Here is a 27,955-nt window from a genome sequence, read left to right as displayed (position 1 = left end):
GAATTTATTGATGTGGGCTGAAGAATAAAGGCAACTGAAGTATCTTCCATGTTGATTACAGTAATTCTTCAAAATGTGAGTCCTTTGGCATGTTTAGATGCTACAACTACAGCTGAAGTCTCTTCCACATTCCTTACCTTCGTCATTCCTAACACTGTGTCATCTAAAGTCAGAATATGTTCTGAAGAAGTTTATAATTTTCTCTCCAGGGTGAATTTTCTGATGCTTTTTAAGATTAGTACATTGACTGAAGGCTTTCCCACATAAATGGCATTCATATGGCTTTTCTCCAGTGCGTGTTCTCTCATGTCATCTAAGGTCGGAGGACAGACTGAAGGCCTTCCCACATAGAAGACAAGCAGGTGGTTTCTCTCCAATGTGAATTATTTTGTTTCCTCTAAAGCCAGAGCTTTGACTAAAGGCTTTCCCACTTTTATCACATTCATAACACTTTTGTCCAAGGTGAGTTCTCTCATGTCTTCGAAGGTTAAAGGATTGAATAAAGGCTTTCCCACATTGATGACACTTATATGGTCTCTCTCCCGTGTGAGTTTTCTCATGTCTTCTAAGGTGAGAACACTGAGTGAAGGCTTTTCCACATAGATGACATGCATATGGCCTCTCTCCAGTGTGAGTCATCTTGTGCCGTCTAAGGTAAAAGCAATTAGTATAGGCCTTTTCACATAGATTACATTGATATGATTTACCTTTAGTATGAATTTGTTTACGTGGTTTAGGGGACAAAAGATTACGAAGGGATTTTCCACACTGTTTGCTGACACAGGGTTTCTTTCCACTGTGAGTTAACAAACACTGAGTTATTGTGGAACTGTGAGTGCAATCTTCTCCCGAATCATTATATTCAAAAGGATCCTCCAGAATGAGAGAGTTCTCCTTTGGGACAAAGATTAAAAGCTCTTAATGGTTTACCCACATATATCTATACATTCATTTCACTACCTTTGAATCCTAGACCAACCATTCAGTGGTAGACCCCAGTTGAAATCTTTCCAATGTTTCTTGTGTGAAAGGAAATTAAATTTGGGGACCCCAAACTCATTTAACCAAAGGGAAAAATCAAGCTGGGAACTGGGTCACACAAACCTGCCTCCCCCTTCTGGTTCCTAAATAATATGACTACAAGATGAAAAGCTACATGCCTCCCCCATATTTTGCCCACAAGGAAATTCCTCATGAGCTGTTAAAATTACACCATGGCAATGCAAACTGATAACTTGTCTTTACAGGTGCAGTCATCCCAAGTTCACCAGACACAAATGCATATCTGATTGTTTCCCTGCCCCCATTTTGCCTATGTTGTCTTATGTAAAATGCAGCTTTCCTGCATTATTCCTCTGCCTCATTTGTTTATGTCATGTTATGTAAAAAAATCCAGATTCACTGAGCCAGAAAAATGCATGAATGACTATTTTTTCTACCCACCTTTTACATGAAAATTGTGTACTTCTCAATATCCCAGCCTTTCCCCTTTGAATTTGGAGCCTTCAAAATCATCTTTGGAGAAAGGCATACACCTGTCCCCTGGGTGCATGTCCTTAACTTTGGCAAATAAATCTCCTAAAATGATTGAGACTTGTCTTGTCATTTTTCTCGATTGACATTTGCATACACATTATCTCCTGCAGACACAGGTATGTTCTCTTCTGTAAGATCTCAACTGCAGAGTTATTGCATAATTGTGATGATATCAATATCTTTCAATGTCTGGGCATGAGCAATGTATATGCACTTGCTCTATTTTAGAGATCTCATGTTATGATTTAGAACAGAGGTCAATGTATTCACTAAATTCAAAGTCTCCAGTTTTTTTCTTTGCTTAGAAAGCACTTAATGCCAGCCTAATTACACTCAGGTGATTGTGCTTCATTATTAACTTAACCCATTACCATATCTTTAACTTAGATGACTGGTGTACACAGCTATAAAACTTACCATTGTCATACTGGTGGATGTGTCTTTTCTGATGATAGGATGCATGGATATCATGTGTTTTTTCTTAAGGGCACTTTCCCTGTCTGAAATAATTGAAAAATAAATTGTTACATTGGTATTATGGTAATAAAATTGTTTGAAAAGCCCCAAGGCCCATTTACTTTTTTTCAAAAATTGACACTTAGATGTGGCAAGTGTGTCAAATGAAGAAACTACTTGAATAGAAGAAATAGATTGTACAGTGTCAGCAATTAGAAAAGATTTTTAAAATTAAAATGTGAAAAGAGTTAAAATGGAGATGAGATATCAGGCAAGTAAATAGAGGGATAGTCTTCACAGGGGTATCAGGGAAAGGGTCAGCATATGAAAGTTTAACCCCAGCCAAGTACATGAATTGTCTTTTTCCCAAAAGTAAAAGAAAAGAAAAACAAGAGGACACAAGAGTAACATCTGACACATGAACAAAACGATAATAACATCTAAGGAATTCTGCTCCAGTAGCCTAACCTACATTTTAGAAATTATCACTCATTTAATAAAACCACTAATTAATATTCAACTGATATTATTCATTGAGAAAGCACCTCCTCCTATTAGGACACAGGACCCTGTTGCTTACCTGGATTCTGGTCTTGAAGAAATACTCTTCCTTCCCACCACAGCTCTTTTCCTTGCTCCAGCTGCAAAATTATATAGGATTTGCTTATCTGGTACCCTGTTAGTGGAAAGAATACATGTGTTTTGAGTTCACTGTCAATAAATGTGCATTATCACCAAGTGTAAGGCAGGCTATCAAGGAAGAATAAAAACAGTGAAGGTCAGCTCAGGCCACAAGACCTAGAACACAGAAAACTCCCCAGGATTTTTCTGACCCAACTTGAGACTAGAAAATAAATCCAAACCAAAGGGCCATCAGGAAAAGGAAATTCAAAACAGTCAGGACCTATGAATGCTGAGTCCATGCCTAAGTTCCAAGACACAATGCATAATACACAATCTTTTCAGAAAGAGAGTAATTAAATCTCTGCACATTGTGTTTATTATTATTCTCACGCAGAACAAAAAAAAACATTCGATTTACAAAAATAATTGGTGTTCTATATGGAAAAGATATTGCTATTGTTTTCACTAATTGGTCTCAGCCTAAGCATAGACTAAAGCAGAAGAGTTATTTAGAGAGTATTTAATTTAATACATTGAAAATATTCATTATGTTCCCAGGTCTGTTATGAGTATTAGAGACTGAGTACCAAAGACACCATGAAATACTTGTCAAGATTACATTCTAATTGAGTGACAAACTAAATAAAATAAAATAAAAAGAAAGATATTTATTTAAGATAGATTTAGAGAGTTCAAACTTTTTTCAGATGAGATCTGTGAGAGAATCAGAGAAGAGATTAGAGTGAGATATGGGGAAGCTGTTCTAACACTTATTGAATGAATGAGCGAATGTGTGTCTACATATGTACGTGAATGTTGAGGGACTCACCGAGGGACACCAGGTGACTGATATTTTCCAGCATCACATCTCTGTACAGCTTTCTTTTGGATGTGTCCATCATGTCCCACTCTTCCTGGGTGAAGTCAATAGCTACATCTTCAAAAGTCACTTTCTCCTAAAACATCACAGACATTTTAGTTTAGACAGAGAAATCCCTTTCAATGTCCAGAAGAGGAAGGCTGAGATGATATAGCTAGGAGCTGGGTATGCAGAATACTCAGTGTTTTTGGTTCCAGCCAGTTCATTCTCAGTACTAAGCTGGTATCTGCCTTTCAGATTCACTCACAGAGATATACCCACTCTGAATCCATTAAACTTTACTATAAAGAAATATTGCATGAGGTGTGGCATAATATAACCCAGATATTTTTCAGTAATGTGTTAATCACCTCTACATAACTGCTTATAAAATTTTCACTTGAACATTCATAAATAAAATGAAATTTACCATGAATTTCAAGTAAATTACAGATTTGTCACAAGGCAAATAACCATGATTTACTACTTTTTAAACATGACTGCGATGAAATAAATTATTTCTCTAGATGAAAGACAGATTTCTCCCCAATCAAATGGTTAAAAGACCAATGATGTGTTTTGAATAATCTAATGAACTAATAGAAAATGTGTTTCCTACCTAGCAAATATTTATTAAATATAAGTCATTGGTCCCTTATTCATTCAAAAGTTAGAAAGTAATGAACCAGACTCCAGCATTCTTCAGAACTGAACGCTTTATGCAGAATATAGGATTCAATTCATACATATAGTCTCTCTAATGTTATATAATTCAGGTGTTCATGAAAAGGCTTGAAGACAGTCTAGCAGCACAAGACAAGACTGCTGAGGCTGCTATACTGAGGAAATCTTAGTCCGATGATTCCTGTGATATGAAGCCTCCTGTTCTCAACTTTCTCTCGGCAGTCCAAACATCAGTTATCATTGTTTCTCTTTTAAATTGACCTTCTCACTTCACTTGTTCAAAGATTAAGAAAGCCTCTTCATTGTTTTTTTTTTTGTAACCAGCCCTTATAAAGCATTTCCACAGAACCCTAAATTGTACTCTATCTACTATATTCCTTCTTCTGAGTGTGCAACCATAATTAAATAATTATATTTCCTATATGTTACTTTCACTTACCAGAAGGCAAAAAAGTTAATTACCAAAAGGTAAAATAAATGGGGATAAGAATAGTAATGACTTCTTTAGTTGTCCTTTCACAAAGTTTTTAAAAGCTCAAATATATTTTATAAAACTCTTCTTTTCCCTCAACACTGCACAGCTCTTGCCCAAGTCCTATCACACTGGATTTATTGAACTCAGCTGCTAGAACATCAGACTCATTGTTGGGCTGTGATGTTCTGCTCTTCACTCATCTCTGTCGTCTGCATTCATCACAATCCTAAGTCTATTTCAGCCAACAGTACAGTTAATGGGTCAATTATTTCCCTATGAGATTATAGGATGGATAGAAGAAAAAGAAATATATAAATGAAACCTCTCATATCTTTTTTTGTAAATAGTCTTAATAAGGGCTGGAATAAAGTAGTGTAATATTAGAAATTATATTGATAATTTAGGAGTCTTTGACACACGATACCCAACCTAGAGTCCTGAGAAAACTTAATTGGAGGCCAGATACCTGAAAGCCTCCTGACTGCATTTGGAACACCCAGGCTGGGTGGATTTTACATCATAAAAACAAACAAAAAAAGAATAAAAATGAAACACCCATGCAAATTGGAGAAAACTGCCCATTTGCCAGCAATATGGGTATAATTTCAGTAGAAAGAGGCATCCCCTACTCACTAGTGAATGCATTGTCAGGAACTCAGTTTCTCTCTGTCTTCCTCTGGATTTCCACTTGCAGACACTTTAGGCACTAAGAAAAGCTGAGGTTGGAGAAAGAACATGTGAGACACCAGTCTTGTGCACAATTTTCAGATCAACCTGTGATGAAAAGCCAGACTTTCACTGAAGTGTGACACCAGCTGCACCACAGCCTAACCAACAGACACAAACACGCAGAGGCCTCTCCTCTTTTCCCGTGGTCAAAATTAGGAAGCCTATGACTATGGTTGCTAATAAACAAGGAACACAGATATCTTGTGAATGAGAACATCAAAAGCACGGAGTTTTGTATGTTAATTGGCACAAGTCCAGATATTCAATTCCCTCACTGATTTTAAAACACAGGGATCCCTGACTCCATCCACATGTGGAATATGATTTCCACCTATAGATAAACACTGGGATTTCTCAGATTTTATTATCCTAGCTTTATGCCCTAGCAACGTTTCTCCAACACCCACCACAGCCTTCTGAAGCCTTACTCCACTTTTATTTTCACTCAACTCTGACTTTTGTATTTCCCCTTGGAACGTGGAAATAATCAAGTAAGAATCTGTTTTAGGGTCGAGTGCGGTGGCTCACGCCTGTAATCCCAGCACTTTGGGAGGCCAAGGCAGGTGGATCACCTGAGGTCAAGGGTTCGAGACTAGCCTGGCCAACATGGTGAAACCCCATCTTTACTAAAAATACAAAAATTAACTGGGTATGGTGGTGCTTGCCTGTAATCCCAGCTACTCAGGAAGCTGAAGCAGGAGAATCTCTTGAACCCAGGAGGCAGAGATTACAGTGAGCTGAGATCCCACCACTGCACTCCAGCGATGGCGACAGAGTGAGACTCTGTCTCAAAAAAAAAAAAAATCTGTTTTAGGATGGGGATAATGAATTGAGGGATTTATTTCACTTAGAGGGTCAACACTCCCATCCTGCTAATCTAGCCCTTAAAATCTCCTGCATCGGAAATTAGCAGGAGTACCCTGAGTCATGGTGTTTCTGTCCTGTGTATACAGTCACAATCGTCTAGGATGCTCAGAAAATACAAAATGACATAGGGGTGGGAGAAATTTAGCAGCTCAATCTGATGTTTCACTAACGTGGTATCTAAAATTCTTGCAATCATGGTTTATATTAGTCTTTGTTAGCTGCAATATCTGTGATTATCATGATACATATTTGCTGAGAAATACCCATGTCCATGTATATATTCGTACATAGATATGTAGGTATATAGGTGCATATGTTTATATGAGTGTATGTGTTTGAGACGGGGAAACATGCATGTATTATTTCCTTGCTAAAAATATAAAAATAATTAAATATATTTTATGTGCAAGTGATAATTATGTGTCATAAACAAAAAATTTACTGACCCATTTGTACATGAAGTCCAGGAAAAATAAAAAGGGTAACTTTGTATTAATTGTGACATTGTGCTTACAGATGTACATATATTTCCTTATTTAACCCTCATAATAATCCTGCTGATTATAATTTATTTACCAATTTAATAAATGATCAACAGGGTTTGAATAATATGACAAAATTACAAAATTAGAAAATGGCCCAGCAATACTTTTAATTATATTCTGCCTGTCACTGCCTCTTCTTGCTTTTTGACAAAATTACTCCCCTAACCAAGGTTCTCTATGATTCTGGGGACTCCAGCATTTAGACCCCAGTTCCCAAACATCATTGTGTCTATTTTTACTGCCACATTTAATGCACATTTACAGACTTCAACAAGCACTTTTCAATATCAACTTTTTTCTTATTCCTTGAACTATTTTCTACATCTGTTCATCAAGACTCCAGTAACATATGACTCCATCTGCCTGTCCCTTCCATGAATGTACCTGACAGTACATGTATTATGTAGCCTACAATTTAAGCAGAACAGATATTCCTTCAAAAAAAATAAGATATTAGAGAATGCCGACAAAGCTTCAGTGTAACCAGCTGTAACCCTTAATATTATTACCATGTAAACTCTTCCTCGAATATCAAAATAAGATTTGGGCTTTAGAGAATATTTGTGTGTAATTATAACCCAAACATGAACTAAAAGTAATTTAACTGGTCATATACAGACCGTGCCAGGGACAAAAAAGGACAAATATTATAAGAAAGTTAAAGCATACTTATTTCATAAAGGACTCTTGTGTGGAATCTATCAAAACGATTTCAAGATGTAGAGATTAAATATATTTTAAACCACATACATACACAAGCAATCTTTAGGAGAAACTTTTAAAAACTTATGTTATAGGTCTAAAATTTTCATTAATTCATGGAAAAAAAATGTATTGACAAACTTTTCACCAGAGCAGAAATAACAACTTATGTATTTGGTGACTTCAAGATGAGAGCCTGCACAGCTTAGTATCTCCCTCCAGTTGTCTCTCTCTCTCTCTTTTTTTTTTTTTTTTGGTAGAGTTTCACTCCTGTTGCCCAGGCTGGAGTGCAGTGGCGCGATGTCGGCTCACCGCAACCTCCACCTCCTGGGTTCAAGCAATTCTCCAGCCTCAGCCTCCTGAGTAGCTAGGATGACAAGCATGCGCCATCGTGCTCGGCTAATTTTGTATTTTTAGTCGAGACGGGGTTTCTCCATTTTGGTAGGGCTGGTCTAGAACTCCTGACCTCAGGTGATCCGCCAGTCTCCGCCTCTCAAAGTGTTGGGATTACAGGCGTAAGCCACCGTGCCCGGCCCAGATCTCTTAAAAAGTCATGAGGAATGAGCCATTCTGCATCCTCAATATTACCTTAATATTTTAAGGGCACCCGTAAAAATTAAGAGGCCAACTTGTGACTTCTTAGCCCTTTCACGGCTATTTAGACACACGTTAGTGAAGTATTAGGAATGCAGTATTAGGTCTCAAGTTCCTGGACAACAAAACCATGTTCTCCAACAGATCTTCAGTAAAAATAGCTGATGTCTATATTGTTTTGCCTGTCCTTTCCCTTCCTTTTAATTCAGAACTGCAGTCTCGAAAAGTGCTATTATTTAGTAGATTCTCTCAATTCTCAACACCAGTGCTATACAATGTTGAATGACATCTGAGGTGCTAGGGAAACAGCAGCTCACATTCTAGCAATGGAAAAATAGAAAAGCAAAGATCACCACAGAGTAAAAGAGAATAGATTTTTTTAAAGTATGAAACCAGAACGAATATATATCAGATTACACTATAAATGGAAAATCCTATTATCTTGACGGGATTGCAAGTCAGATTACACTATAAATGGAAAATCCTATTATCTTGACAGGATTGCAAGCCTCTCATGGCTTCCAACCTCCAATATATTCAAAGCAGTTCAGGAATGGTGAAAGTGGAATGGAATTTAAAATTATTCTAAGGTTTTATGTGTGAAAGCATCATGCCCTGAAACAAAATATTTATTTTTAAAGTGCATAATGAACACTGCATACAAAGTTTATGTAACAGGAGAGAGGAAATATCTCACATTTTAAAAAAAGGAATATGCAACATATTTACATACAATAAAATTAAATTAAATTAAAATACAGCAATGGAAGACAGAATCTAACATCTGAAAATCAAGGGAGAAATCTATTTTAAATAAACTTGTCACAATTTTAAAAGTAAGTTATGAAAAATAATAATACCTGAATATAGTACATAAAAGTACCAATACAATAAAGCTAAAACAATATCGATGGAAAAATTATTTGCTGTGCATTATTTTAAAAAAATAATCTAAGTACTTACCTCAATAAGGTAAAAGAATGAAATTTAAAAATTGCTTGAGAAAATCTGTGAAAGGAAATGAATATAGAGAAGCAGAATATAATTTAACTATAAACCACACAAATAGAATTTAAAAATAAGTGGTAGCCAACATGCCCAACACGATTTTCTGTGATGAAAGAAATTCTCTATATCTGCATTGTCCAATGCAGTAACTACCACACATATGTAGTTACAGAATTTCTAGTTTGGCCAAGACTTTGGCTATTACTACTAAGGATATGTCATTTAGTTATTTAATTATAATTAATTTACAGTTTATAGTCACATGTGACTAGTAGTTACTATATTGGCCAATGCAGATCTAGAATCTTGGAGGAGGCAGTTCAAATAATGAGATATGGTCAAAACAAAAGTGGAAAAGGCACACAAATAGTGAACACAGATTATGAGAATGTGAAGTAACAATTCACACAATAAAATGTAATAATGAGATGCTGCCTTGATGGGACAAATGTCTAATGATATACAAGGCTTGTCTTGTTACAGGTAGAAGAGCATGAGCAGGGCAGGAGAGGGCTCTTCCCCTACCCACTAGAAATGTCAGGTGATGGCCTGTCAATTATCACATTGCCTCTCTAAAAATGATAATTAGGCAGCACCAAAGAGAGGCCATTTCCTGATGGTCTACACCTGTTAACATCAAAAATGTTAGTTAAATGCAGACCTCAGGAAGAAGCAACTTCTTGGGCATGCATGTTAAGAGACAAAAATGGCAAAGCATAATCTTCCGGGGGCACACTCCACCGGAAAAGGAAAGAAAGCTTCAGATGGACATGCATATAACTCCCTAAACACACCGTGCATGCTCAATTTCAAAGGGTAAGGAAAACACTGTGCAAGCCGGAAACGCTCCCTAAAGTTAGAATCATGGGAAAGAAGAAAACCCATGGCAGGATCAAGGTTAAAGGCTCTTCTCTTTTCTTTCTTGGACATTCAGGCATCTGTTCGGGTCTCTTCCAAGAGAATTTTCCTCTCCTTCCTGTTCTAAAGCCTTTTTAAATAAACTTCCACTCCTGCTCTGAAACTTACCGCTCAGTCTCTTTTTCTGCTGTATGCCCTTCAGTCAAATTATTTCTTCTGAGGAGGCAAGGACTGAAGTTGCTTATGGACCCATGCAGATACGCTGCCAGAAACTGGAATCTCTTCTACTGGTAACAGTACCATTGTAAGGGAATGAGGTCAGTTCACATCTCAGTGCTTGGAGAACTCACCAGAAATAAAAAGTTGGAGGATGCAGTGAACTTATCTACCTTCCAAGGCAAGTCCCACAAGCAAGCAGCAAGACTCTCTTTCCCCAAGGTCGTATAGCAAAGACATGGAATCAACCTAGATGCCCATCAATGTTAGAGTGGATAGAGAAAATACAGTATATGTACACCATGGAATACTACACAACCATAAAAAAATTATGTCCTTTGCACCAACATGGATGCAGCTGGAGGCCATTATTCTAACATAATGCAGGAAGAGAAAACCAAATACCATATGTTCTTAGTTATAAGTGAGAACAAAGCGTTGGTTACACACGGATGTAAAGATCGGAACAACAGATACTGGGGACTACTAGAGGGGGAAGGGAAGGTGGGGACAAAGGCCTTAAAAACTGTCTATTGGGTGTTATGTTTTCTATCTGGGTTACAAGATCATCCATACTCCAAGCCTCAGCATCACACAATGTGCCAATGTAAAAACCTGCACATGCATCTCCTGAATCTAAAATAAAAGTTGAATTCTTTTTTTAAATGCTCAAAGATCTGGCTAACATGGTGAAACTCTGTCTCCACTAAAAAAAGAAAAAAAAAATTACAAAAAATTAGCTGGGCATGGTGGTGGGTGCCTGTAGTCCCAGCTACTTGGGAGGCTGAGGCACGAGAATGGTGTGAATCTGGGAGGCGGAGCTTGCAGTGAGCCGAGATCACGCCACTGCACTCCAGCCTGGGTGACAGAGCGAGACTCCATCTCAAAAAAATAATAATAATAATAAAAATGAGCAAAGATCTGAGTAGACATTTCCCAGAAGAACAGATACAAATGGCCAACAAATATGTGAAAATATTCTTACCATCTCTAATCATCAGGGGGATGCAGATAAAAACCACCATGAAATATCACCTGATACCTCTTAGAATAGCTATTATCAAAAAGATGTATAACAAGTATTAGCGAGGATGTGGAGAAAAGATAACCCTTGTATACTTGCGGTGGAAATACAAATTACTATGTCCATTTCAGATAACAGTATGAAGGTTTCTCAAAAATTTTTTAAATAAAACTACCTGCTGATGAGGCTGCTGAGATATAAGAACACTTTTACACTGTTGGTGGGAATGTAAATTAGTTCAACTATTGTGGAAGACAGTATGGTGATTCCTCAAAGACCTACAACCAGAAATACCGCTTGACCCAGCAATCCCATTACTGGGTATATACCCAAAGGAATATAAATCATTCTATTATAAAGATACATGCACACATATGTTCATTGCAGCACTATTCACAACAGCAAAGACATGGAATCAACCCAAATGTCCATCAGTGACAGACTGGATAAAGAAAATGTGGTACGTATACACCATGGAATACTATGCAGCCATAAAAAGGAATGAGATCATGTTCTTTGCAGGAACATGAATGGAGCTGGAAGCCATTATTCTCAGCAAACTAACCCACGAACAGAAAACCAAGCACTGCACGTTCTAACTTACAAGTGGGAGCAGAACGGTGAGAACACATGGATATTAGGAGGGGAACAACACACACTGGGGCCTGTTGGGAGGCAGGTGGAGGGAGAGTATCAGGATAAATGGCTAATACATATATGCAATGGAATATTGTTCAGTGTTCCATAATAACGAAACCCTGTCATTTGTGACAACATGGATGGACTTGGAGGGCATTAGGTTATATGAAATAGGCCAACCACAGAATGACAATTACTATATTATTTCACTTGTGTTTGAAATCTAAAATCGACAAACTCACAAAAGCAGAGAGTAGAATGGTGGTTGCCAGGGGCCCTGGTGCTGGGGAAATGGGTAGATGTGGTTAGAGCACAAAGTTTCAGATATACCACGTAAGTAAGTTCTGGAGGTCTCGTTTACAGCATAGTGCTTACAGCTAAGAATACTGTATTAAATACTTAAAATTTGCTAAAAGGGTAGATTTTGTATTCTTACCAATATTTCTTACCAAAAAAAAAAATAATAATAAAGGGGAGGGGACTTAGGGAGGTGAAGGATATGGTTATAATCTTGATGGTAGTGATGTGTTCATGGTGTATACTTATCCCCAAGCTCACTGAGATGTACACCTTAAATATGTACAGCTTTTTAAATGTAATCATCGCTCAACAAAGTCGGTTAAAATAAAACAAGAGGGGGTTGGTTAAAAAACTTAAAAGGAGGGGTAGATGTTCCCTTGTTTTTTTCTCTTGGCTTTTTTCCTACCTGCTGCCTGGAATTCAAAAATGATAGGTGGGGATTTAGCAGCCAAACTAGAGCCTCTTTTACACTATAGCAGAACAGAGTGCTGGAAGGGGCCTGCATCCCTAATGAATTTGGCAGGTATCTGTACTAGCCATGGTAGGTAGAACTATAGATTTAAGTGAGGGAGAAACAAACTTCTGCCTTGTTTAAGCTACTTTGTTCAGACATTAATTTTATATACATATAGAGAACATATGCTCCTTTATGAGTAGGAAAAATGTTTATGCCATATGGTCCATGATGGGTGTTCAACAATGTAGGATGAGGCTGATTATGATGACAATGGTGACAAATAGCATGAAATAATAAGCAATGAAAATAAGGTGGCCTCATAGTTGTGTATGGTTACTTTATTTAAAGATTCTGCTGCTAATATCATTCAATGTATTTGTATGCTGGTGGGAGTTTTGTTAGATGTAGACTAAGAAAGTTTACATTATTTAATGAAAAATACTTGACCAATTTAAAAAAAAATAAAAATATCATGAGATGGAACTAAGCATCTGTATTGCAAAGTAACTCTCCCAGTTGATTTTCTGCATAGTCATGATTGAGAATCCCCTGATCTAGATCCAATAGATCTCGACCTTTATAGGTGCTATCAAGGAAGCACCTAAGGAAGACAATTTTCCTGACTATATCCATACCTCCAGTTAGTAATAGATCTAGAGATCTAGAACCCAAATCCAAACCTCCTGCCTCCACGTGCGGTGGTCTTTCGCTGTTGTTTTGTTCCACTTGGTGAAGAGGATTTGAGAATAAATAGCCACATGATTCAACTCCCTCCTCAGTTCTGAGGAATATAGCCTTGTCCTAGCAAGCAAGAAGTTCATACAGTAGTGGATGAGGCAAATATACATTCACTAATCTAACATACAAGGCAGTAAGTACTGTAACATAAACAAAGCACTTTGGAGTTTCAGACCAGGAGCAAGTGGGGTGATTAATTCTTAGCAGGGCTAGTAAAGTCTGGGAAGTGTTCACTAACAAAATGTCTGGTCATTAATGAAACCAACTGGTTTCTCAACACAGTCTAATTTATTGTAACAATATAAATGGTTGTTTGTTCATAAACTTTCATCTTTTGCCAAAATGTAGCTTATGTCCCCATTTAACAAGGTTTTCTGGCCAAAACTGTGCACCCACATCATTCTAATGAACTGGCTGTCCAATAAAAAAAAAGGATTCTCAGTCTTCCCATAAAAGCAATTTTGCGTGCATAGAACACCTCTATCTATGAATATCCCTAAGGAGGTACAGAAAGACTCTTATTATCCAAACAGAGACATTCCACTGCTGCTAGAGAGCCACAGACGGAAGTTTTCTCTGCCTCCTGGAAATGAAGCCAAACTTTTTTCTTTCTTCAGCCATGAGGATTGCTGTCCTCTTCTTCACCATTTTCTTCTTTATGAGCCAAGTTCTACCAGGTAACAAAATAAACTTGGTAAGAGTAGAGTGCCTAACACCTTACAGGGATTCAATACTCAAAGAGAAATCACCATCACCTATGACCAGAAAAGGGGGTCTCATAGGAAACCTGGAAGACTCATTGGCTGAGAGGCCTGCAGCCATCTAATTCGTTAATTCTCCATAGCAACCCAGTTAAATGAAGTCAATGGTGTTTCAAGTCTTTGAAACCCTCTTATTCCATCTCCAAATTAGGCAAGTTTACTAGCAGTTACTAGACCTCAAAAATTAAAAATCAGGCATTATTCTACTAAATTTTTGTCTCCAAAGCTCCTCTTTCGGCAAAAGTCAGTTATCCTAAGAACTGGCATAAGAGCTATGCCAAAGCTGTGGTAGGCTCAGACAGAAGGGATTGGTGGAAGAAGTCTCTTTGAAAATATTACTATAATCTAAGAAATCTTTAACCTATTGCTCCCCGATACTGTTGGTCCCTGGAGCTTGACTTTTCCCCTTAAGGCTCCATCTCCATCCCTGGCTGTCCCTCTTCCTTCTCAGCATCTAGTCTTGTAATGTAGAATTTAAACACAGGAACCAGGGATGATCCCACACCAGAGCATAGCCTACTGCATTCAGCATGCGAACATTAATCACAGGTATAAGGCCCCTTGCACAGACATGCTTTGGAGAAGTGTGTATAGGACTTCTTGGATTGGCCCAAGGTGGTTACCAGACACCCAAAGTAGATTCAAAAATTTTCTGGAACTCCTGAACATGTGTATTCAAGGACGAATAAGCAACTTATTGCCTCTATTTTTGCTGTTTTATAGAGAAAAAAATTAAGGCCCTGGAAACTGAACTGTTTTTCCCAACAGTGGGGTAAATGTCAGAGTCAACACTTTGTTTTAATATCCTGGCTTTCCCTATACATCCCACCCTAGAGTTCTGTTGTGCTGTTCCTTTGTATTACTTTCTAAAGCCTGAAAAAAGGTGATACCATATCCAATCATATTAACTCGGTAGCACACAACATCGGGGACTGACATAAGATTATTATCCTTGTGGCATTACTGAATTCCTGTCTCACTAGTACTTGTTAAATAGTCACCCTGGCTAAATACATGGGTTTGATTTTTTTTAATCAGTTAAAAATATTTTAAAATATGTGTCTTACATATATAACCCCAGAAAATCAATGCTTTTAATCAAGGTTTAAAAATTCCAAATTTGGATAAACACATTTTGTTTTGTTTTGTTTTCACTGTTACTCAATCAAAATAGAAGCAACTAATTGGATAGAACAGCACAGGCAGAAGCATGACTCACAGTCAAAAATGGGATGCAACAAGCCTGGAGAAGAAAACACAGGATGGTGCTAAAGAATGCACCCTAATGAAAGGTGGCATCTCCTCTGGATGTCCTTAGGTAGACATTGAAGCAGAACTGCCAACTTTTTGTAGAAGGCTAGAGAGGAGAGGAGGACACAGAGAGAGGGCAAGAGTGGAAAATAGAATGAGGCTCAGAATACCAAGCCTTAGTGCTGTCCCTATCATCTGCTTCACTCGATCACTGGGTAATCTTGGGCAAGTTTCTTCCTTTCCATCAGCTTATTTCCTCAACTTTAAGGTAGGTGACTAGACAAGACAGCCTATGTTCATTGTAACTCTATCTTTTGTTCCTAAAGCAAATGGCCGGAAAAGACATAGTGTCCACAATATGCAATACACAAGGTTTACAAGCAAAGAACAAATGAAAACGAAAGATTTTTAAAATCCCTAATGTTACTTGAATTCTTACAAATGAACAATGGTACATCATAATTTTAAAAAGTCTTTTGTAATTTCAATTTTTAAAAATAACTTCAACCTTTATTTTAGATTCAGGGAGTGCATGTGCAGATTTGTTACATGGATATATTGTGTGATATTGAGGTTTGGGGTATGAATAACTCTGTCACACAGGTAGGGTGTACCCAAAGAGTAGCTTTTCAGACTTTACTCCCTCTCCCTCCCCTCCTGGTAAGACCCAATCTCTCTTGTTCCCATTTTTATGTCCATGTGCACTCATTGCTCGGCTCCCCCTTATAACTGAGAATATGTGGTATTTGTCTTCCTGTTCTTGAGCTAATTTGCTTAGAATAAAGTCCTCCAGCTGCATCCATGTTGCTGAAAAGGACACAATTTTGTTCTTTTTATGGATGCATAGTATTCCGTGACATATATGTACTACATTTTCTTTATTCAATCCACTGTTGATGAACACCTAGTTTGATTCCATACCTTTGCTACTGTGAATACCACTGTGATGAACATACAGATTTAGGTCTTTTTACAAGACTGATTTATTTTCCTTTGGATATACACCCAGTAGTGAGATTACTGGGTCAAATGGTAGTTCTGTATTAAGTTTCTCGAAAAGTGGTTTGAAAATATAATGCTCAATAGAATCAGGTATAGTAAAATAGTACACATGATTCAAAGACCTCTGAACCGAGAGTAACAACAAATTTCCGCACAAACATATTGCAAGTTAGAAAATAGCTGTATTTTAATCAATTATTCCACAATCATTTACTGAATAGCTATTATAAGCCAAGACTTTAATCAGATTCTGGAATATACATACAGAGGAGAATAAGATACTATTCCTGCCCTCAAGAAATTCATTATCAAGAATTGAGGTCAGATGGGAAAACACCACCCATAGTAGAATGCAAGAAGTACTACCACAGAGGGATGTTCAAGAGTGATTTATCACATATCACAAGACAGGTCAGTGGTTCATCCTCTACACTATACTAATCTCTTATGACTCTTCCAGCTGCAAAGGGCCAATTTTAGCACAAGGCCAGTGGGCTTGGGTACTACTATACGTAATAGCTGACTACTTACAGATAAAAGGAAGAGATGGAAAGCTCAGGGATCAAAAAACTCAGATTTCAGCTTGTTTCTACCAAGTGGTCAACATTTACAATTACCATTGTCTTCAGAAAAGCATGACCTTTATTTCCCAATTTGCATTACAGATATAAATATGATGTTGCATATATTTGGTCTTCACATCAATCCACTAACTGCTTTGTGACCATTGAAAAGTTAAATGGAATCTAATACATTTGGATTTCAGGTCAATTAAATAGGCATTTATTGAATGTTTATTAAAATTGCTGTACTGATTGAAAGCTATTCTAGAATTGGCTTTTGTGTTCCAGAATAGAAAAAAAAAAGTGCTGGTTTTTATACCTCTCTTACTGCCAAGAAGTTATCATGGAAAAGGTGCTCTGTGTTACATACAAAGACTGCTCAGAATTAAAACACTTTTCAAACTCAGTACCTCAGAGTGTGTGGCCTATCCCCAGAGCAGTGATATCTTAGGACATAAATGAAATACTATTCAATATTTTCAACAAGTATAGTTTTTGAGCCTTTAAGAAGACCTTGAATGTTTCACTCTTAATATATGCAATGGTTTCTAGAGAAAAATTGCAACCTCAAAGACCAGTTCCAGAGATATGAGTAGTGAGTGAAGTCTCAGGGTGTAACAAGTAATGGCACAGATATATTTATGTATTAAACACATAGGAATATTGTTCCCTTCCACAGGAAAAATATCCTCTCTAACAATTGAAGTATATTATCTTTTAGGTCTATATTTCAGTTCTATTTTTGAAAGATACATCTATTATAATCTATCATATAGAGAGAGTGTGTGTGTGTGTGTAGGAATAAAAACAGCTGATCCAAAAGAGATTTTCTTCTCTTTCACTCCAGGAAAATCCATAGTACAGGACATTATATTTTCTTAAAAGGCTGACATCTCCCATCAGTGTTAGAAGACAATAAGGAAGAAATAAACTGAAACTTGTATGCTCTAGAACTTGTAAAGGGAAGCAGGCTACTCACCTCCAGCCTTTTGTCATGTAGGTGCACCCAATATTCTCAGATTTTTCAAGAACACCAAAAAATCCAAATTTTTGTGTGGCAGCAGATTTTTAAGTGTTTAAGAAATCAAATAACACACACACACACACACACACACACACAGACACACACACAAATCCACACAAGATTATTTTCAGGCACTGCCCCCTACGTCCATGTAATTCAATACAAAGTAAAGAAAGACTGATGAATGGTTACAATAACCCCTTCTGCATGTAGCCAAGGGCAAATTCAAGGAGATCTGTGAACGTCCAAATGGCTCCTGTCGGGACTTTTGCCTCGAAACAGAAATCCATGTAGGGAGATGTTTAAATAGCCGACCCTGCTGCCTGCCTCTGGGGCATCAACCAAGAATTGAGAGCACTACACCCAAAAAGGACTGAAGCCTGTTGTTTTCTGGAGGTTTTAGGTTCTCTTTTTTCTCTCTCCCTCTCCCTGTCTCCCTGTCTCCCTTTCCCTCTCTCCATTTTTCTCACAGGGATTTTTATTGAATCCTCAAAAAAGAATAAACCAAAACCAACCAGCACAAAACCTCTTTTAAAAGTTTATATTACTGGCTGGGTGCGGTGACTCATGCCTGTAATCCTAGCACTTTGGGAGGCCAAGGTGGGTGGATCATGAGGTCAGGAGATCAAGACCATTCTGGCCAACATGGTGAAACCCTGTCTCTTTTAAAAATACAAAAATTTAGCCAGGCATGGTGGCGGGCACCTGTAATCCCAGCTACGCAGGAGGCTGAAGCAGGAGAATCGTTTGAACCCATGAGGTGGAGGCTGCAGTGAGCCGAGATCCCGACACTGCACTCCAGCCTGGGTGACAGAGTAAGACACTGTCTCAAAAAAAAAAAAAAAAAAAAAAAAAAAAAGTTTATATTACATGTTATGACTTGATTACTGTTTGGTTTCCAGTATCCTTCTATCCCATCTAGATGAGCTCTTAGTTGAAAATGACATACAGCAGGGTGGGGGAAATTTCAATCATACCCATTGCTTTTGTCTAGCACTGTAACCCTTCACCCTGCATGTGGGAAGACCACTCCCCTTTTTTACTAGGAAAATGCGCCATCCTATTCCATGCAGCCTTGCGGGGGTCTGTCTCTCCCTGATAAAGGTGCAGCACATGGGAAAATTGCACAATCACGTCAACCAGACTTCACCAGAAATCTAAATTATAAAAAGAGTTGCACTCAGATTAAAGGCAATTTTTTCAGCACCCTTTTCGGAGGCAATTCCCTGGGTCTGTACATGTATGCCTGGCCAAGATTCAGGGAATTCCTTTGCTTCCCAGCTTTCACTGGGCATAATCATTCAGCATTTTCTTCCATCTTTTAAAATACTGTATTGGCTTCCTACGGCTCCTATAACAAATTACAACAAACTTAGTGGCTTAAAGCAACACAAATGCATTATCTGACAGTTCTATAGGCTGCAGGTTTCAGATGGATCTCAGTGGGCCAACATCAAGGTGTCAGCAGGGCTGAGCTTTCTTCTGGAAGCTCTGCAGTTTTCTTCCTGCACCTTTATCCCAGCAATGGCAGGTTACTCCTGGGCACCATAGCTTCCTTCATACATTTTCAAAGCCAGCAACGGAGCGTTGAGTCCTCACATTCCATCATTCTGAATTCATCTTCTCCCCACTCTTCCATTTTTTAGGACTCATGATTACATTGGGCCCACCTGGATAATCTAAGATAATCTCCCTATTTTAAGGTCAGCTGATTAACAGCCTTAATTTCACAGGAAACCTCAATTCCCCTTTGCTTACAAGGTGGCACATTCACAGGACCCAGGAGTTAGGATGTGGATAGCTTTGGCGGGAGACAGAGGGGACATTATTCTGCCTACAACAGCCACTGAGTGCTTTTACCACCTGTCACAATTTTCCTCCATTTAGACACAACTTTAGTGGCTTTGTGTGAAGAGATTCTCATTCATAGAGTTTTCTTTTTTGTGTAAAGTACTGGGGGGCCTCCCCTTGGTCATTGAAAGAGTATAGAATCAAGATATTTAAAAGTATGTTAGCTGGATTTTATTTTTCACTATGCCTGATTTGGCCAAGAAACAATGTTAAGTTATGTCACATGGACTACTCGAAATCTCAAAAAGTTCAAAACATTGGGTTCAAAATCTCAGAGACTGAGATATATTCCAACCAACTCAACCCTATGGAAGTGCCAAGTTTTCCTCAGTGCATTTTTGAAACTGCATCACCAACTGACCCTTTAATATATTTTTGCACTATATAACATTTACTTCTTAGAGTAAGTGCTTCCCTAGAAAAGAAGCAGTTTGGACACATATATTAAAGCCATCACATAGAATATTATCCTCTCATTGCTAGGAGGTGGCCTTCAAGATGGCTGACTAGAGGTACCAGGCACTGTGTCCTCCCAAAGAAAGACCAAGACAGCAAGTAGATAATCATACCTTGAAGAGGGCACGAAAGAGGGCACTAGAATTCAGCAGCAAATTGACGAGGAATCTCTGAGGCATGGAAGGAAAGGAAAATGAAGCAGCAGCCCAGCCAGAATCAGCTTAAAGCCAGGACAGGCTCTCCAGTGTGGTGAAAAGGTAAAAAAGAGAGCCCCAGTGGTCCATATTCCCACTGTGGACACTGCAATCCTAGCCAAGGGACAGTCTCTCAGCCCTTGCAGGCCCTGAGACTACTATAGGGAGCTGCCTGGAGTCTATGTGATGGTCATTGTCCCAGAGAAGGAGTTGGCACTGGATCGTCTGCACGTGCCCCCAGACACAGGCAGCTGTGGCACAATGCCAATTTGAGAGCCCAGCCCCCAAAAGACTACATCCTGCCCTGGGGCCCAACAGCCCCTGAATCTCCACATCTCTGGACCCTCAGTGACATTCCCTCATGTCCATCCAGAGGCCTGCAGAGTCACAATACCAGCTGAACTCACCAGTGTAGCTTGGTCCCCATCACTCTAGCCTACACAGTGTCCTACACTCCAGGGAACTGGCAGTGCCATTCACTAGGGAGGCTGCCCCCAGAACAAAGGGAGCTGAAGCAGGCACTCTTCTCAAGTGGAGAGTCACCTTCCCAGGACCACTGACACTGACAGCAATCCTGACCCCCAGGAGCAGGGCCACTGCACACCTGCAGGCATCCTCAGGGGACCTGGGGACTCACCTGCCTGGGCACTATTCCAGGGCCAGAGCACAGGCCCATCCCACCCATTGCTGTCACTACCACTACCCAAGGTCGTTGTCCAGGACGCTGGGGATCAACCCACACTGCTGTCTGTCATTGGCACCTGTGCATGCCTTCTTGTGACCTGAGTATGAGCCCACCCAGCCTGGTGGTGCCTGTGCACATTGTCTGGGAGCTGGGGGATTAATCCACCATACCTATCACCATCAAGTACCTGTGTGTCTCCTGAGAGCCTAAGGATAGGACTTCCCATCCTGCCATCACGGCTGTCACCAGTGCCCACATATTTGCACCAGGTGAAAGCCTGAGGACTACTCTGTCCATCATGTTGCCATGACTGTTGGTGTCTGCACATGCCATCTGGGGTCACGAGAGTTGACCTGCTATGACTACTGCAATTGCTGATGCTACACATGCCTCCCAGGGTCTTGAGGGCATGCCTATCTACCGAGCTCACCACTGTCACTGCTGGCACTTGAGAAAGCCACCTGACTCACACCTGTAATCCTAGCACTTTGGAAGGCTGAGGGGGGCAGATCACCCGAGGTCGGGAGTTCAAGACCAGCCTGACCAACATGGAGAAACTCCATCTCTACTAAAGACAAAATTAGCTGGGCATGGAGGCGCATGCCTGTAATCCCAGCTACTCTGGAGGCTGAGGCAGGAGAATTGCTTGAGCCCAGGAGGCAGAGCTGCAGTGAGTTGAAATTGTGCCACTGCACTGCAGCCTGGCCTACAGAGCTAGACTCTGTCTCAAAACAACAACAACAACAAAAAAAAAAACAAAAAAAATAACACAACACATCTTTGCCGTGATGTCTGGTAAACAGAAAGTGGTCAGCATTATTTGTTATTAGTATTAGTGTTGTCGTTGCCATTGCTTTGATTCACATGGAAATGGTTTGTAAGCTGTGATGCCTACTATTAATGTTATCTATCACAATTGTTAGTTATGTCTGGTATCTATTGCAACAACTAGATGAATGTAATCTTGGGAAAAAATTTTAAATTTCTTTAAGCTTCTCTCTCCTGATTTGTAAAATGAAATTTGTTGTACATGCTGTGTTTTTCTCAGCTATGCAGCTGTTCAGTTATTCCATATTTCAGTGCTTCCTTGGCTGATCAATCAATTTGGCCTACGTCAGCTCCAAGGGCATCCACTTCATCATCCTCCAGGTGGACTTGTAGCTTACCTGAGGCTGTTTGTATCAGACATCCAAGAAGGAGAAAGAGAAGGAACAGCAGTGTCATGATGGGAAATGAGTGGTCAGGATTATACGATGACCTTACAGCCTGAAGGTGGCTCTTTCTTCAGTGTACATCAATTGAGGAGGACAAGTGATCTGGGAATGAGTTTGAATTCAGCTGGGAAACTAACACAGGAATAGAAAACCAAATATTGCACATTCTCACTTATAAATAAGAGGTAAGCATTGAGCAGACATGGACATAAACATGGGAATTATAGACACTGTGAACTACTAGAGGGTGGAGGGAGGAGTTGGGTTAAAAAACTACCTATCTGGTACTATGTTCAGTACCAGGGTAATGAGATCCATACTCCAAACCACCACATAATACCATATTCCCATGTAACAAATCTGCGCATGTACCTACTGTATCTAAAATAAGTTGAAATTTTAAAAAAATGAACATACATAGAGTAAATGGATATTTTTTGAAATAATTTTGGGTAACTAATACTTAAATCCAGAAGCAGCAGTTTATTGCACTTTTATTTTAGCCAATTTCTACATGTATGTGGCTAAGCACACAAGGGCGTGATACAAAAGTGGCAAAACAGATCTGCTGAGCTACCTGCAAATGCCTTTCAGAAATAAAATAAAGCATCCTTTAGTGGTGATGCTTCTTCTCAAGAGCAAATGACTCCACTCAAAGTAAATCACTGCAAAATTTAAAAAGAAGAAGAACAACAACAACGACAACAATTCAGCTAGAGAGAAAAAGCTTGCATTCCTGATTCAAATGTTCAAATTATGGCATGGGTGTAACCTGAGAATGTTCCATCTATGGACTCATGATTACAGATCCAAGTCTCCTCCTATTCAAATAGAAAGTCTTCACAATAATTTTGCATTTTCTGGTGGATTTTCATTTCTGCTTATGGCTCTGAGGTTTGGTGCCTTTTTTTCCCCAGAATAAATTATTATAAAATAGTGATATTGAGGATTCATCCACTTATTCATTTATCCTCATTCATTTCATGTCTCTGCATCTATCAACTTTCCTTTTGGAAATATAAAGAAAACCACCCTTTAAACATTTTTTATTTCTTCCATTCTATAAAAAAGTTTATTTTTAATGCCAGACCATGTAAGGGCAGCTATTTTAAAATTGCATTTTGATTAAAATTGCATTTTGAATTCATGCAAGATTACTTTCTGTCAACTGCCTCTTTCCACACATCTATGGATTAAATTAACCAATATTTAATACGACTGACATTACCTTATTTCAAGATATGAAAGTGCTACATGAATCATTAAGGAGAGGTTAAATTCTCTCTCTTCTTTTCAAATTTCAGTAGTTTTTGGGGTACACATAGTTTTTTGTTACATGGATGAATTATATAGCGGTGAATTCTGAGATTTTAGTACACCTGTCACCTGAGTAGAGTACATTGTACCTAATAGGTAGTTTTGTATTCCTAGCCCTGCGGCCTTCTGAGTCTCTAAAATCCATCATATCACTCTGTATTCCTTTTTGTACTCATACCCTAGCTCCCACTTATAAATGAGAGCACTTGGTTTTTTGGAAAACCACCCATTTTAGAAGCTAAAAAAGGAGAAGAAATTCTGTAAATGGAAATTACATTTTTTCCTTGGTTGAGTTCAATGTTTGATTTTTTTTTTTTTTTTTGCTACCTGGTTAAAAGCGATAATTCTAGGCAGGCTCTTACCATGTCAAACTTCTGCATAGATTACAACTAGGTGACGCATTAGGGGCCAAAGAGTTTCTTAATCATGTAGTGCAACGCATTTTTATGGTAAAGGAATTAAACAGCAGAAAGTATACACGGTAAAACACTGAAATTCCTCCTTCTCTCTTTCCCCTCCACATCTGTGTTGCTTTATATTGTTTCTACATCTCTCTCCTTCTCTACACTGTGAGCTTCTAAAGTAACAAGCACTGTCTGGTTACCTTACTTCCTCAGCCCCTGAGAAGTACCTAGCAGAGACGAGGTACTCACGTATTTGTTTAAACAAATGACACTTGAATGAAAGAATCAATACATGAATGAATAAATTGACGGAGGGAGGAAGGAGGTAAGGAAGTGCTGTGGCCCGAATGTTTGAATATTTCTGTCTCCCCATTCATCTGTTGAAATGCCAACCCCCAAGGTGGTGACGATATTACAAGGTGCGGGCTTTGAGGAGGTGATTAAGTCGTGGAGCTGAAGTCCTTGTGATGGGATTGCTGCCCTTATAAAAGAGGCCTGAAGGAGCTCGTTTGTACCTTTCACCACATAACATCACAGAGAAGGGAACGAGCTCTCTCCAGACACCTATGCCGGTGTCTTGATCTTGGACTTCCAACCTCGAGAACTGTGAGAAGTAAACTTCTGCTCTTTATAAGCCACCCTGTTTATATTACTTTTTAATAGCATCCCAAATGGACTAAGGCAGGAAGGAAGGAAGAAAAGAAGGAAGGAAGGCAGGGAGGAAACTCAGGGATGCATACCTTTCGACCTCTCTAACAGTGGTCACCCTACATTAATAATCAGTATGTGTTGAGAAGCCAAAAGGTAGATTGTTGATGAGATGTAGACATCAGAGAAATCAGCCAAGCTCTGATGTAAGCTGTGGTCTTTGCAAAAATAGAGACAATTTTTTTTTGTACCTAAGAATAAAAGAGCTCTAAAGTCAGATAACCCTGGTTTCAAAACTTTTGCTCTGCCATTCATCAACTGAGTGATCTTGTGCAAATAATTCAACCTTTCAAAGCTCCAGTGTCTCCTGTTTATTTGGTGATGGCTATAGTGTCAACCTCCTACTGTTTGTCTCAGGAAAAAAAAAAAAATCTTAGGAAGAGTCAATTGCTACCCAATACCTATCCACGCAGAGTTGTGTTTTAACTAGGATCACCACAAGAGTTTCAACCCCATCAAAAAGTGGGCAAAGGATGTGAACAGACATTTCTCAAAAAAAGACATTTATGCAGCCAACAAACATGAAAAAAAGCTCATCATCATTGGTCATTAGAGAAATGCAAATGAACCTAACCTGTAAGAGGAACTTTTAAGTCAACTTCTGGATACCTGAAATCACACAAGATACTACTTTCCTCCATAAGGCCTGGAATGTCTCAAAAAAATCCCTAAAATTTAAAACTTAATAAGGACAACTTTGCCTTTTAGGGCCCATGGAATTAGAGGCTGGTAGGGAAACTTTGGCCATTTTGGGTGTGGGAGAAAGATGGTCGTAGATAAGGCCTAAAATTGTAGGAACACACTGAATTTCACTTATTAAATGTTAGCATAACTTAAGTTTACATAATTTAATAAAATAATATAGAAACTCCTCTGTCACTCCAGTAAGAATGAACATTCTTGAACACCTATCACGTACCACGAGTCTTGAAAGTGGTATCTTAGTTGACATAACTTTTATATGAGATAGATATTTTCTCTGAGCAAGTCAATGCAGGTTATACAACTAGTGATTGAGCTGGGATTTGAACTATCCACAATCAAAACTTTTGCTTATTTTACAGTCTTTCTTGCTAAAAAAGAAAGATAATATTTTTTGAATAAAGGAACACATCTCTAGTGAGATAAACTAGTTCTGTGTGTTTGACAGCAATAGAGCTTGAGGTTTAGAGAATGAACAGGGTCGTGCATAAAAGGTTGTCTGAATTGCACTTCCCTAACAAAGGGGGAAAGTCTGCATCAGGTGGGTCATGGTGGGCCAAGTGGGTAAAGGTCAGTGTTCCTTAATCACTTCCCAAATGTTCCGCTTCTTAACACTATTGCATTGGGGATTAGATTTCAGCATGAATTTTGGGGGAGAGACACAAACACTCATACCACAGCAAATAATGATGGTGATAATACTACTGATAATAATAATAATAATAATACCACTAGAAAGTAAAGTGGAGGCTGAAATCTGTTGTCTACATTCCTGTCTCCTACACTTACACCCTGAAAGCAAGCCTCTTTATTGCCTCCCACCCCTTCTTTAGCCCCAGTTGGCCCTACTGGAAACCCACCTTGCAGTTGGTTCCTCCACCCTCCACAGGCTGTGTGCTGTATGTCCCTTGGGACAAGGACACCTGAAAGCAGCTCCAGTGACCACATAATTAGGGGTCATATCAATGGGCAGAGGCAGAGCTTAGTGAGGTCATGCAGAAGGCATTGTGACCCTATTGACAGAAGTCAGGTTTGAGTGGCAGTGAGGGAAAGAAGGGTGGTAGGATGTGGGGACTGTGTAGCACCCCTTTCATAGGGTTTCCCTGAAAAGCTGGGCAAATGCAAAAGACGAGAGCTCTTGTGTGTCCAATAAGTGTTTTTCTTTTAGTTGGTATAGATGCAGTAGAGGGGAATAAGAGATAGATTAGGTGAGAGAAAGAATTGCTGGAGTCCTGATGCGATTTGGCTCTGTGTCTCCACCCAAATCTCATCTCTAATTGTAATCCCCACATGTCAAGGGAGGGATCTGGTGGGAGGTGATTAGATCGAGGAGGCAGTTTCTCCCATGCTGTTCTTGTAATAGTGAGTGAGTTCTCATGAAATCTGATGGTTTAAAAATGGTGCTTCCCTCTTCTCTCTCTCTCCTGCTGCCATGTAAGATGTGCCTACTTCCTCTTTGCCTTCTGCCATGATTGTAAGTTTCCTCAGGCCTCCCCAACCCTGCGGAACTGTGAGTCAATTAAACCTATCTTTTTTTTTTTTTTAATAAATTACTCAGTTCTTTATAGCGGTGTGAAATGGGCTAATACGAGTCCTGTCTATGAGTAAGCAAGGAAATGCGATCTACGACCCTTTCTCTCTTCTTCCCTCTTTACCCTTCCCACCTTTGTTCCCTCCTTTCCTCTCTCCTTCCTTCCCTCCCTTTTCTTTATTCCTCCCTCCCTGCTTTCCTCCCTCTCCTTTCCCCCTCCCTTTCCTTCTTCCTTTTTCCATCCCTTCTGTCTTTTCTTACCATTCTTTCTCTCTCTCTCTCTTTCAGTGCCCTGTCTTTTTTTTTTTTTAACTTCTCTTTCAATACATGCCGGGACAAAATAAAGGAATAGCGAAGCTAAAGTCATCTGAAAGCCAAAGTTGTGATGGAGAACAGTGAAGAGACCACATGGGGCACTTATGGCAAGGGTTCACTGTATAAAGTGCCCCAGGCATATATTATGAGCTTCTCTAGGTGCCCCAAAACTCTTCCATTTAATTATAAAAGGATATACTCGTAAAGAGATAGCCAGAATTTCTATCCTTGAAATAAAATTAATCATTTTACTTCCATTTAAAATGGCACTTATCCCTTAAATATAGGCACCCCAGTCTTGCCAAGAAAAAGCGATGGGATCATCACAGGTAATTTCAGTCTGTTAGGTTGGGCCATGAAAACGTAAAACTCTGAAACCTCCTCTAAAGCTATATGTACCTTCAATGTTAAAGGGAAGGTGCTTAGTTTTCACAAACTGTTCAAATAGTCTATCTGGTCTAGAGAAAGAATTAGTAATAAACTACAATCTAACCTCAATTTATGTCAACCCTCTTGTTTCTCAGCTCCCTCTTATCTGGAGCAGGCAACAAGGACAAAAATGGCAAAGTGAAGAGCAGGTAACTGACATTCATAGCTGGTGGCTGACCAGCCAAGTGACAAGCCAAGATTGCTACCTTCTTAAGAGTCTGACACTTTCTACACAAA

General features: G+C 39.0%; 1 protein-coding gene and 2 pseudogenes across 3 annotated transcripts; 1 reads left to right on the top strand and 2 right to left on the bottom strand.

Annotated features, from left to right (window-relative positions):
- LOC124901865 (translation initiation factor IF-2-like) overlaps positions 1 to 27,955 on the bottom strand; it is a 451,468-nt pseudogene that overhangs the window by 112,491 nt on the left and 311,022 nt on the right.
- Positions 288 to 26,364, bottom strand: ZNF705B (zinc finger protein 705B). Of its 3 annotated transcripts, none has more exons than XM_047421207.1 (7): positions 26,304 to 26,364; positions 22,265 to 22,444; positions 5,268 to 5,350; positions 3,446 to 3,572; positions 2,573 to 2,668; positions 1,954 to 2,036; positions 288 to 894 (listed from the first exon to the last, which is right to left on the bottom strand). In XM_047421207.1, exons 3-7 carry the CDS (start codon positions 5,277 to 5,279, stop codon positions 310 to 312), a joined length of 903 nt encoding a protein of 300 aa, XP_047277163.1. In that variant the 5' UTR covers positions 5,280 to 5,350; positions 22,265 to 22,444; positions 26,304 to 26,364; the 3' UTR covers positions 288 to 309. The 3 variants fall into 3 exon arrangements, with proteins under 3 accessions (XP_047277163.1, NP_001180559.1, XP_047277164.1); NM_001193630.1 differs by having other exon boundaries at positions 22,265 to 22,414; XM_047421208.1 differs by lacking the exons at positions 22,265 to 22,444; positions 26,304 to 26,364 and having other exon boundaries at positions 5,268 to 5,483.
- Positions 13,931 to 18,437, top strand: DEFB108A (defensin beta 108A; annotated as a pseudogene).

Source organism: Homo sapiens, chromosome 8 (assembly GCF_000001405.40).
Source record: "Homo sapiens chromosome 8, GRCh38.p14 Primary Assembly".
NCBI classification, from domain to species: Eukaryota; Metazoa; Chordata; class Mammalia; order Primates; family Hominidae; genus Homo; species Homo sapiens.
Note: the sequence above shows the minus strand (reverse complement) of the source record. Positions and strands in the feature narration are given on the sequence as shown.